At 40.3% G+C, this 13,094-nt stretch overlaps 1 protein-coding gene and 1 pseudogene across 3 annotated transcripts in view, besides 1 other annotated feature; both read left to right on the forward strand.

Moving 5' to 3' along the window:
• RHOBTB3 (Rho related BTB domain containing 3) overlaps positions 1-13,094 on the forward strand; it is a 78,738-nt gene that overhangs the window by 40,621 nt on the left and 25,023 nt on the right. For all 3 annotated transcript variants that reach the window (XM_017009237.2, NM_014899.4, XM_011543279.3), the window contains 2 exons: positions 5,264-5,376; positions 9,802-9,922. In XM_017009237.2, coding sequence (XP_016864726.1) covers positions 5,264-5,376; positions 9,802-9,922 — 234 coding nt within the window. The remainder of the gene's footprint in view (positions 1-5,263; positions 5,377-9,801; positions 9,923-13,094) is intronic.
• Positions 2,310-2,359: an enhancer, noted in NCBI's record as "active region_22801". NCBI's record gives its function as "activates an Ori minimal core promoter by ATAC-STARR-seq in GM12878 lymphoblastoid cells {active_cell/tissue: GM12878}" and the evidence as "EXISTENCE:reporter gene assay evidence [ECO:0000049][PMID:35858748]".
• Positions 11,453-12,939, forward strand: HSPD1P11 (heat shock protein family D (Hsp60) member 1 pseudogene 11; annotated as a pseudogene).

Genomic DNA, 13,094 nt, shown 5'->3' on the forward strand with positions numbered 1-13,094 from the left:
AGAAAGAAAAGAAAAAAGTTATCCTTCTACCCTAGACCCTTTCCCCGGAGTCATTTACCTGTTGTAATTTTTTTATGCACTCATTCTGATACTGTTTGAAAGAGATTAATATTCTGGGGACATTTGATTAATAAAAGTGTAATCCTAGGTATCTGCTGCTTTCCAGGGATCACAGGCCGTTTCCCATGGCTGGAGCGTAGAGTGAAAGGTGATGGCTGGTGGGTGATGAGGTGGGCAAGGCCTGTGGAAGCTGTTCCTGCTGCTCTTAGACTTGTGCTAGAGTTTTAAGCATGATCAGACTGGGCTTTAGAAAGCTCATCTCTGGTTGTGGTTGCAGGGTGGAACAGTGCGGCCAAGACAGGCATTCAATCAGGAGGTCCCATTACTCTGGCGATCAGCCTCAGGAAGGCCAACATTCAGACAGTGGGTGGCCCTGCCATTGGCCCTTCATCGTCTAGACCAGTGCTTTTCAAACCTTAAAGTGTGTGCAGATCATCTGAGGATCTTGTTCCTGTGGAGATTCTGATTCAGTTACCTGGAGTGGGGCATGAGATTCTGCATTTCCAGTAGTCTCCGAGGTGGTGCTGGATCTCTGGACTGCCAGAAGCAGCTGGAATACCTGCTTTTGGAAGAACTGGGAACCAGCCAAAACCAGCAAACTAGGGCCTAGAATTCAGTGCAGAGGCCCAGGAAGGCTACCAAGTTAACAGCTTAGGATTCAAAGTAAAAATGGGGTGAGCTGTAAGGCTGACTGATGCAGTGCTATTCAGAACTGGGGCTCTCAGTGCCCTGTGTGTCCCTGACGCGAGGAAAAATGGATGCCTAGTGGTTGGGTGGAAATTAAGTAAGCCTGGAATAGGGATCGGAGGGCAGGCAGGCATGATGGTGTGGAGAGCCTGCTGAGCTACAGGTCTTCAACCAGTTCAGAGTCCTGGCTTCTTAACCTGACACTGACCCGTCCCATTTCGGCTGTGATCTCTCCTTGTACGTCACGGCCAAAGCCGGAGGTGCTGTCTGGTCTGAGCAGGGGCACGGGCCATTGACCCGGGGCTGCAGAGATCCAGATGCTGGTTAAGGAAAAGGGAAAATAACTGGTTCTGCAGGTATCTATTTATTATTCTTTAATTATTTACAGATTACAACCTCTGGCTCAAGGAAAAGTTTCATTTACATTATGTTAAAAAGAGATATCAAAGCTGTATTTGCACAGAAAAGACAATTTTGAAAAATGCTGAAAATTAAGAGAAAAAAATTTACCCAGATTCCACTATCAACAGAAAATGTTTAAACATTTATTGCTTTGTTTGATCCTCTAGTCATTTGTTTGTGTATGAATAAGTGACACTGTTTTTGAAAAAATGTATTTTGTAATCAAATCAAACAAAAATTTTAAACCTACGTTTTTCTCAGAGACTTCAGTAAATGGGCCAGGCTTGTTTTGTTTTGTTTTTGTTTTAACATTTTTAAACCTGTGAATAGAATACAAGTGTTAAGGCACAGTTATGCAGTGGTTTTCCCACAGAAGTGCTGTGGTCTGCCCTTGGGTTATGCTAGAGAACCATTGAAGACAGGAGTTGTTTGTTTGTGTTCCCATCAGATGGGTTGGTAAAGCAGAGGTTGAACTCCATCATGTGCTCAGGAATATTTGCCTTGAGCAAACACGGGCTAGAGAGTTATAATAAGCCTATCTCCTGTCCTTGTTTTTTTTTTTTTTAAAGAACCAGATTACAAAGAATATCTTAATTCTTTTTAAATAACATGCTTTTTTTAACCTTTAGGAATTTGAAATTTGGTGTGTGTTATGTCACCATGAACATTTGGTTCGTTATTTAGGAGCGACCTGTTTAACAACAGTCCGGTTAACATTTTACACCTATCTATTCCTATTCAAATTTTTGATTCAGTAGACACAGTCAAGGTATATCTGTTTTGTATACGTTAGTTTTCTATTGAATAACAACAAACACTGCATAATGTATAAGTACTTAACTACTAATCCTAAGGAACGAGGAGTAATGTGATAAGTGAAGCCAGCCCTTTCCTGGTCTTCAGGGAGTAATTCTTACATGGCATACAATTGTAACATTCTTATAATACTTGATACAGTGTTATGGTTGCACATTCTTGAGTCATATGATCTCAGATGGTTAGGAAGTGAAGTATTTGTAAGAACCTCAAGAATTTAGCTTTGAGCTCTTCCTGCCACAGATGGCCCTTAGAGTTTCACATCACTTATTGAAATGCCATCTGAGTAGACAAATATGTGGAAGCAAGCTTTCATCTTCAGTTTACATTCTCCAGTTCTTAGAATCATTCCGTGGCATGTCCTTTTCTGTATTGCATAAAAACACAGCCTAGTATACATGAGTATACCATGCGCTCTAAAAGTCTAAGTGGATTCAGTGCTTTAAGAAGTTAACTAAAGAAAATCCCAGTCAGTGATGCAAGATGTCATCCTGCCCTTGTCTGCAGTTGATCAATCAGTAAAGTTATGCAAGATGAGTAAGTTCTGGAGACCTGCTGTATGACATTGTGCCTATTGTTAATGATATCGCATTATATACTTAAAGTTTTCTAAGAGGGTAAATCTGATGTTAAATGTTTTTACCACTGGAAAAATAAAAGGAAAGTCCCAGCCTTAGGATTACTGGTTTATTAGGACCTAAAAGTCTCAAAGATGACTTGATTAATGTTTCTAATTATGAAAACAGCCCAATCAGCAGTGTGCTCTTGAGAATTAGTCTTACTTTCATTTTCAGTGAGTGATTCTTCCTGTGTGTGTTCTCAGACAGTTCAGTGGCCTGTGGGGATTTACCTGCTACTGATTCCATCTATTTAGATTATTTGATGCTTGCTTGCTTTTAGATAATCTTCTGAATGGAGATATTTTATAGGTGTTTTTTAGTTAATATGCTTTTACTTAAATAACAATGTAACTTTTACATATATAAGTATGTAAAAGAACACAGAGACAGTACTTATGTTCTTCTTTAGATTGGATGAGTGCAGACATAAAAAATACTTACATGTTCCCTTTCCTGCATACCACTAACACTGGGTTTGGATAATGGCTGAAATTTCTTTCCTTTTTCCTCTTTTTTTTTTTTTTTTTTTTTGAGACAGGGTCTCACTCTGTCACTCAGGCTGGAGTGCAGTGGCATGATCATGGCTCACTGAAATCTCCGCCTCCTGGGTTCAAGCGATTCTCCTGCCTCAGCCTCCCAGGTAGCTGGGATTACAGGCAGACGCCACCATGCCCAGCTAATTTTTGTATTTTTAGTAGAGATAGGGTTTCCCCATGTTGGCCAGGCTGGTCTCGAACTCAGTGGTTGAAATTTCTAAAGGGAAAGCAGTGGCCGTCAGCAGCATACCATGCACATTAGGGTCACCAGGGAGAATTTTAAAACACTGATGCCAGGGGCTTCAGGCCCAGAAATTCTAATTCACTTGATCTGGAGATGAGACCTCCTCTCATGGTATTTTATAAAAGATCTCAGGTATTTATAATACACAGGTATGGTTGATAATCACTGGCATAGAGTAATTTTATTGATCTGGGATCCATTGGCTTCTAAGGGGTTCTTACACTCTCACATTGTTATACTGACTTTAATGTTTGTGTGCACATGAAATTTTCTGGTCATACAATCCCAAGAATTTATGAGATGGGAAAAGAGGATGTGGCCACACAGTTAAAAAGCATTCATGCAGAAAGAGAAAAACAGAAATCATAGAGCTCTTCTACACTACACAGCTTTGAGAATTTGAGGAGGAAGGGGAGCAATCAGTGAAAGCATAAAAAGAGCTAGCAAAGGCAGAAAGAAGCAGTGGTGTGCTGGAGCTGGCACCAGCTTGTGAGAGCCCAGTTGTGTTTATCATCCCCATTTCCTTGTTCTGTGATGTCATGTTGATAGCATCAAAAAATGGCAAATGCTACATATCATTTGACTCCCTCCCCCAGGAGACACTGTAAGTATTAGGAAGGCCAGGTGGGGAGAAGTTGAAAGGATATGCATTAGTGCTTAGTGCTGCAGGGCTCAGCTGTAAGAGCCTGAGAGCTTCTGGACTTGCAATCTGCCCCTTCCAATTGGATTTGGTTTTAGTTGGTACAGACTGGCTGCAATTGCCTGATCTCATTGGTTTAATAAGTGTTTATGTGCCTGCCTCATTCCCCAATATCCATGAAGGCATCTGGTGAGTGCTGAATACAGGAATGAAAACATCAGAAGAAATGAACTGAGAGCAGATAAAAAAGGGTCTTGAATTACCCAGAGAGGTGAAGTGACTCATCACACTAGTAGTTAATAGCTGAGGTAGAACTGGATCCTAGGTCTCCTAACTATACCGCCCACACTAGGCTTCTTGAATTATATTTTTATGAGATAGGACCTTCTATAAATCATAGGATGGATGCGTGTAATCTCTTGGAATGTCATGATCAGATTCGTGCTTTTGAAAACTCACCAGCTTTGAGTAATAGGATGGATTTGATGGGGAAAAGGCTGTTAGGAAGCAGGGAGGTTGGATAGGAAGTTGCTGCAGACCAAGTAAGAGAAGTCCTTGGGGAAAAGGTCAGCTTTTGCTGACCATAGAATAAGAATTTTGCAAGACATAGAGGAAAAGAGGCTGACAGAGTGGGAGAAGTGAAATGAGCCTAGGAAGAGAGTTTTGAAGTGGGCTAGGGAAAGGCAAAGGACAGTGGGGTGATTTTGCTCCGATGACATGAGCTACGTGGACGAGTAGCTCCCTTCCTCAGGCTGGTTTTGTAGAGTTGGCTCTCAAGCATCCCAGTCTGCCCCTGACAATGCTTGAGACCTTCTGAATGCATTCTGTTGCTGCTGCATGTTCCTCTACCTGATGATAGTCACTGCTGCCCATAACTGGTAAGATTTAATTCACCCTTGGGAAAGACCACATCTACCTTTTTACTCAGGGCAAGTAAATAATTTGGGTGCTGGACCACTTGTCATGGGAACTCATATTCTGACCATTGCTGTTATCACTAGCTGCCCACCTATTGCAGAGAGGTAGCAGCAGTCTGGGGAGGAAGACTTCAGATTTTGAGAAATAATTTAGGGGAAGTTAAACTGATCGTTTTGAAATGTGAGTACTGTTTAAATGTTTTAGTATAGTTATAAGGATGTATATCTGGTAAAGAAAAATTAAAGCACTAAAAAAAGGGAATGTTGTATTTAATAAGAGATTTACTTTTGTTACTTCCTCATTTAACAGAAAAATCCAGCATGTACTAATTTGTTTACAGGTGCTTTTCAGTGGGAAGAATTGGAAGAAGATATCAGGAAGAAGTTGAAAGATTCTGGGGATGTTTCAAATGTAATCGAGAAAGTTAAATGCATTTTAAAAACACCAGGAAAGGTAAGTTGATTTGTTGTAAGTTAGTTTACTTTGACCCTCTGAATTATAACTCACATACTATGATGAATATAAAATTGAGTCGTTAGAAGAGTCAAATACTGTATAAATGTAAATGTTTTCCTTAAGTATATTTTACCATTTAAATATTTAAAACATAAACATGGGTTATTTGTATCTTAGATTGTGTGTGTGTGTGTGTGTGTGTGTGTGAGACAGAGACCTGTGTTGCCCAGGTGGGAGTGCGTTGGCATGATCTTGGCTTACTGCAGCCTCCACCTCCTGGGCTCAAGTGATATCTCCCACCTCAGCCTCCCAAGGAGCTGGGACTATAGATATGCATCACCATACCTGGCTAATTTTTAAATTTTTTGTAGAGACGTGGTTTTTCCATGTTGCCCAGGCTAGTCTCAAACTCCTGGGCTCAAGCGATCTGCCCACCGTAGCCTCCCAAGGTGCTGGGATTACAGGCATGAGCCACCACACTCGGCCCTATCTTAGACTTTAATTTATGTAAGAATTAAAATACATGTGAGTCATGTCTTTAAAATGCTCGTTTGCGAATTCTGCCTTCTGAAACATTCCCCTGGAGCTCTGGGAATACACAATCTATATCATGAATAAAAGGCTGTTTAATTTGTCCAGGTACAGTTAAGGTTATTAGAGAGGGTGCCTTCTCACTCCTCACAATTTAAGTCTCAAATAGTTTTTGAGAGGAAGGCAGTTTTGAATGTCCCTTTTTCAAGTGTTCTGAGAAATCTATTCAACGAGGTGGACAGTTAAGGATGATCTCATCAATTATAGGTTCAAAATTATAAATTAGATTCAAGTTTATAAAAACAGACTTTGTATATTGCCATAGACTGGTGCACATTAAAACTCTAGTAACTTGGTATTGTGTAGTCTGTAAGGGCTTTAAAAAACATTTCAAAACTTTAAGACATTACACAATTTAGCCAGTGTATTTTTTTGTCTGATTTTGTGATAAACAAATTGGCTGCAGTAGATAAGTAAGGTAAGTTATATGCAATACTTAGCGGAGTAAAGGTATATATTAACTATAAGAAAAATGATGATTCCTTTAATTTTTTAATATAGATGACTTTTCTGTTTTCTAAAACCTGTTAACATTTTAAAGTTAATGTTTTACAAAAATGAAACTGTACTAGCTTTTAGTGAAGATTCTTGATTGTTCTTTAGTTGAGAAAATAGTCTTTTTTGTAAACAAAGTAACGTGGAATTAAGGGGTAAGATTTTTTTTTTTTTAGTAACACATTGAAGCAGGTATACAGAAGCTGTCCAGTTTTACAAGTATATGGCAGGATGGTAGCTCTTGCAGTCTAATTCAACTAAATAATCATTTGTAAAAATTTGCACATATGCCTATATTCTCGTTTTCAAAACAGTTCATCTAGTTGTCTTGATTAACTTGTTTACGGACCAGTGAAAATGTACATCACGTACATTTGTGTTCTCTCAAACTTCTGCTCTCCCATTTTTTTCAAATTCAAAACAGAATTGATGAGGGAATCTGTTTATAGATTCTCTCCCTCTCTCTCCAGTTCTCTCATACATTCATGTGTAATATACATCTATAAAATATTCATAATATGCAAATTCATAACCTTTATATGGCTGACAAGTACAGAAATCTTGCCTTTTCTTCTAACCCTAAACCTTTTCTTGAGTCTTGATTCGGAACACATTCCTTTGAATACTGAGAATAAAATGAATTCTTATTGGGGAAAGGGAAGGCTGGGTGATACGATTCCATGGTATTGCGCTGAATTCCCTCCTCTGCACGGGGAGAAAGAAGAGTTATTTCACACCTTCTTCCTGTGCTTTCCCAGGGTAAGGGGCTGTCTCATTTACTGAGTACCACACAGGGGTGTAACTCTGAATTGGGACTTGGGAAATGTAGATTACAATTGTGAATCTGCCACAAATCATCTCTGTGGCTTTGAGCAAGTCAGGGCTTCCTATAAAATGAGGGGTAAATTGGATGGTTTCTGAAGCCTCTGCGAGCTCTCCAATTCAGTGACGCTTTTTGTTTTTGTTTTTTGAGACGGAGTCTCGCTCTATCGCCCAGGCTGGAATGCAGTGGTGTGATCTCTGCTCACTGCAAGCTCCGCCTCCCGGGTTCATGCCATTCTCCTGCCTCAGCCTCCCGAGTAGTTGGGACTACAGGCGCCCGCCACCACACCCAGCTAATGTTTTTGTATTTTGAGTGGAGACGGGGTTTCACCGTGTTAGCCAGGATGGTCTCGATCTCCTGACCTTGTGATCCTCCCGCCTCGGCCTCCCAAAGTGCTGGGATTACAGGCATGAGCCACCGTGCCCAGCCCGGTGATGCTTTTTGACTGCTACTCTCGTTAAGCGTGGCGGTCACTTGACTCCCATGCCCGAATTCCTTCCATGTGTATGACGGTTATGTTGTGTATAGGATCTCAGAATGACTTTATAGGACCAGGATTTGTATGATCCTGTTTTGCCTCTCTGTTTTGCTTATGGATACCATTCTGGAATGTTTTCTTCTGCCTTAGGAGGAAGAATAATATCATTTTTCCCCCCTCACCGAAGATTTTAAACTTCCCACCATAGTAGATTAGAGTAAGAAGTAGATGTCATTTATTCTTATTACTGCTGATGTTATATGTTTATTTCTTAGGGATAAAGCTTTCAGAGTTCCCTAGCTAGGCAAGCAGAGGATTAGCATTCTGACCAGGGCTCTCAGGCTCTGAGATTCAGCAGGGGGAATGGGTGGAGACGTCAGAATTTAAAGTGAATAAAATATGATATTTCAATAAAAATCATAACTAAGTCTTTCCAAATTAGGGAACAACATAGACTTTAGGCAAGATTGTGGTCCTAATGAATCCTAGTATTTAAAATGACTTATTATTTCATCATCATTTGGGTAACACTACCTGAAAATATTCAGGCTTGTTTTGTTTATCCACTGTAAATAGACTAAAATTTAAAAAAAAAAAAAAAAAGAGAAAGAAAGCAAAGCAAAGAAAAAAGGGTGGAGGGTATGGAAAGGGAGGCCAGCCCTTGACTTCCAGGAGGGTTGGCACACAGGGGATACCTGAAGACCACAGAAAGGATAAAGCACTGAGGTCTGAGTTAGACAGAGAGGCTGCTCCCGGAGCCACTAGCTCCAGCCAGGCGCGACAGGACAGACGAGTTATCAAGGGTGAGAGTCTCCGGAACGCCAGATCAAAAACCCAGGAAACTCTTTATAGGTTCTAGTGGGCTCTGCTGTGAGTAGGAAGGACAATTAGGATTATAAGATTGGAGATGAAGATGGAGGTGAACCAGCTGGGCCCGGTGGCTCACACCTGTAATCCTAGCATTTTGGGAGGTCAAGGTAGGCGGATTGCCTGAGGTTAAGAGTTTGAGACCAGCCTGGGAAAAATGGCAAAACCCTGTCTCTACAAAAAATCAGCTGGGCGTGGTGGTGCATGCCTGTAGTCCCAGCTTCTCGGGAGGCTGAGGCACGAGAAGCACTTGAGCCTGGGAGGTGGAGGTTGCAGTGAGCCAATATCGCACCATTGCACTCTAGCCTGGGCCACAGAGCAAGACTCCATCTCAAAAAAGATGGAGGTGAACCACTTCATTACTCTACGTTATTTTTTTAACTGTTCACTCCTTTAAGAGAAAATGTTAAGCTAGTAAGTAGAAGAAGGATATGGTGTGATAAGGGAAAGTTGTATTTTTCTTTCTTTTTTTTTTTTGGAGACAGGGTTTCACTCTGTTGCCCAGGCTGGAGTGCAGTGGCATAATCTCAGTTTACTGCAGCCTCTGCCCCCTGGGTTCAAGTGATTCTACTGCCTCAGCCTCCCAAGTAGCTGGTATTACAGGCACATGCCACCATGTCCAGCTAATTTTTGTATTTTCAGTAGAAACAGGGTTTTGCTATGTTGGCCAGGCTGGTCTCAAACTCCAGACCTCAAGTGCCCACCTTGGCCTCCAAAGTGCGGGATTATAGGCATGAGCCACTGCACCTGGCCAAAAAATGTATTTTTCTTAATTACAAATCAAGGACTGTCTTAATGAACAAATTAGGTTGTACATGTAAACATATTTTAGTAGGCATTTGTATGGAGTTGGACTACTGTTGTCTGTTTCTCAACAAAGACTCATAGGGTTTCAGGACCTTGCAGCTTCTCAGCAATGGAGCTGAGTTTTCACTTAGGCAATTTGTTTACTGCTGTGAATGCCAAAGAGAGCAGTGTTGTTCACTGACAGGCAGCCCATACAGTTCTTAAAGGTAAGTTCCTTTGAAACCTGTGATCAGAGATGTCATAGAGTAGGGAATCATATTTCTTTTGAGATTTAGCATAATTTTCCAAATTCCTAGCCTAGCCTATATGTTATCAAAGCATGTTAAACAACCTTTCCCTGTATTTTTGTTTTCCCTTATAGATTAATTGCCTAAGGAATTGCAAAACCTATCAAGCCAGAAAACCTTTGTGGTTTTATAACACTTCCCTCAAGTTTTTCCTTAATAAGCCGATGCTTGCCGATGTTGTCTTCGAAATTCAAGGTACGGATCAACTTTTACAAAGTTTATGATTCATTTTTATTTCTTGTTTTCTTTCCTTGCTTTCTACTTCAGGTTTGAATGTTTGGTGTGAAGGAATGATTATTCCCTACTGAGGTATGTAGATTAATACTACCTTAATGTCAACAAAATCTTCCAGGTAAATAGGAAGTATTTTATTAAAATGATAAAATAAATTTATATTTCCCTTAGTATTTTTTCCTTTGCCATATGCTTCATCAACTTTTAGGGCCTAGCAAGGGATGGGGTGATCTATAATATTTTATTATATATTTTTGTGTGTATTTCTTTAAGATCCTAGTGTTTGCTGCATCTGGAGCTAACCCCCTTAAAATTATTTTATCTCTAGCTTATTTTATCCAGCTCTCTTCCTTTTTATTTGAGCAAAAGGAATTGACCATTATTTTATTCAGCTGTCTTCTGTTTCTTTTGAGCAAAAGGACTGAGGGTTATGCCTGGCCCACCTCAGGCACCCATAGATATTGCTACATTTATTCCTCCTAGCACTCTGAGAATTTTATCACCAGAGCAACTGAGAGCTGCTGCTTATCTCTCTAAGAAAGTAAGACTACCTAATTTTAATGAAGATGAGCTGTTTGAGTGCCCATTATTGATCACTGGCTTGGATAATTTTGTCACTTTAGTAGATTAAGATCTAAAGAATGTGGTGGGAGCTGCCAGCACACAAGGTGCCACCAGGTGGGGGAGAGGCGGAGGGAGGGGACGTGGCTCATCGCCATGTGCGTCTTGCATTCTGTCCCTCACTGGCCGCTGACCTGCCTGACTGCACAAGCTCTGCCGCTGCCCCATAGAAATACTTGGATTACCCAGTCTTTCCGCAGACGAGACCAGGTTACTGGGATCCTCATCTCACTTGGGCTTATGCCAAACATGTAAAATTTGGTGCAGGTGCCTGAGCCTTAATTCTTCAAGGTGTCGACCTTTTAGCCGATGCCGTAGCTGCTACAGTGGGGCCGAAGGGAAGAACTGTGATTATTGAATGAAGCTAGGGAAGTCCCAGAGTAACAAAAGATGGTGTGACTGTTACAAAGTCAATTGGCTTCAAGGATAAATGTAAAAATATTGGAGCTAAGCTTGTTGCCAGTAACACTAAGATGTTGCCAGTAACACAAATGAAGAGGCTGGGGATGGCACCACCACTGCTACTGTACTTGCACTCCCTATGGTCAAGAAAGTCTTCGAGAAGATTACCAGAGGTGCTAATCCAGTGAAAATCAGGAAAGGTATGATGTTAGCTATTGATGCTCTAATTGCTGAACTTAAGAAGCAGTCCAAACCTATGACAACTCTTGAAGAAATTATTCAGTTTGCTATAATTTCTGCAAATAGAGACAAATCAGCAACATCATTTCTGAAGCAGTGAAAAGGGTTGTCATCACAGTAAACGGTGGAAAAACACTGAATGGTGCGTTAGAATCACCAGATCTAATTTTTGTGTACCTTATTAATACATCAAAATTTTTGCATATCTTATTAATGTATCGAATAATTAGGCTAAATTTTTGCATAACTTATTGATACATCAGAAGGTCAACAACATGAATTCAAGGATGCCTATGTTCTGTTGAGTGAAACAGAAATGTCTAGTGCCCAGTCTATTGTACCTACTCTTGAAATTGCCAGTGCTCAGTATACACCTTTGGTTGTCATTGCTGAAGATGTTGATGGAGAAGCTCTATGAACCTTCCTTTTGAATAGGCTAAAAGCTGGTCCTCAGGTTATAGCAGTAAAAGCTCCAGGTTTGTTGACAATAGAAAGAACCAGCTTAAAGATATGGCTCTTGCTGTTGGTGGTGCAGTGTTTGGAGAAGGGGGTAGGCCTCATAACACAGGAAAAGTTGGAGAGGTCATTGGGACCAAAGGTGATGCTATGCTCTTTAAAGGAAATGGTGACAAGTCTTGAATTGAAAATTGTATTCAAGAAATCATTGAGCAGTTAGATATCACAGCTAGTGAATATGAAAAGGGAAAAGTGAATGAATGGCAAAACTTTAAAATGGAGTAGCTGTGCTGAAGGTTGGTGTAACAAGTGATGTCAAAACTAATGAAAAGAAAGACAGAGTTACAGATGCCCTTAATGCTATAAGAGCTGCTACTGAAGAAGACATCATTCTGGGATGGGGTTGTGCCTTGCTTCAGTTCATTCCAGCCTTGGACTCATTAACTCCAACTAATAAAAATAAAAAATTGGTATAGAAATTATTAAAAGAATATTCAACATTCTGGCAGTGACCACTGCTAAGAATGCAGGTGTTGAAGGATCTTTGGTAGTTACAACAATTGTGCAGCGTTCCTCAGAAGTTGGTTATGAGCTATGGTTGGGGGTTTTGTGAATATGGTGGAAGAGGAATCATTGGCCCAACGAAGGATGTGAGAACTGCTTTATTAGATGCTGCTTGGGTGGCTTCTCCATTAATTACAGCAGAAGTCACAGAAATTCCTAAAGAAGAGAAGGACCCTGGAATGGGTGCGGTAGGTGGGATGGGAGGTGGCATTTCTGATTCCTAGAATAGGGCTTGACATTTATTAATGAACGGTGATAGGAAGCTCAAGGCAGTATTTCTCACCAGTAACTACAGAGAAGTCATTTGAAGAAAATGACTGAAGAAAATGCTGGGTGATGTTTTTAAAAAATCACTACAACCATCAGTTACTGATTTCAGCTGACAATAAATAGCAGTTTACTGCTGTCATTGTCCATGCCTACAAATAATTTATTTTGTATTTTTGAAAAAAAAAAACATTTTTACATTCCTGATACTGGGTGAAAGAGCCACGTACCCATGTACTGCTTTAAGCTTAAATCACTGAGGCATTTTTACTACTATGCTGTTAAAGTCAGGATTTTAGTGCTTGCTAACAGCAGATGAGAAGTTAAGAAGCAGCTTTTCTGTGGAGAGTAAGAATAATTGTGTACAAAGTAGAGGAATACCCAATTATGTGACAACCTTTATGTAATACAGATTTGTTTAAAGTTAAAAAAGAATGAATTGTCAGATACCTTCAGTTAGGCAAGAAAGATCGAAGGAGCTGTTTTCCAGTGAAAATCTGAGTAGAACTTTAGATGGGCAATTACTAAAAGGAAGATATAATCTAATTTAATAGTAGAATTGTGTAGCAGCGAACAATAGTCA

The sequence above is a fragment of the Homo sapiens genome, chromosome 5 (genome assembly GCF_000001405.40).
Source record: "Homo sapiens chromosome 5, GRCh38.p14 Primary Assembly".
Lineage (NCBI taxonomy): Eukaryota > Metazoa > Chordata > Mammalia > Primates > Hominidae > Homo > Homo sapiens.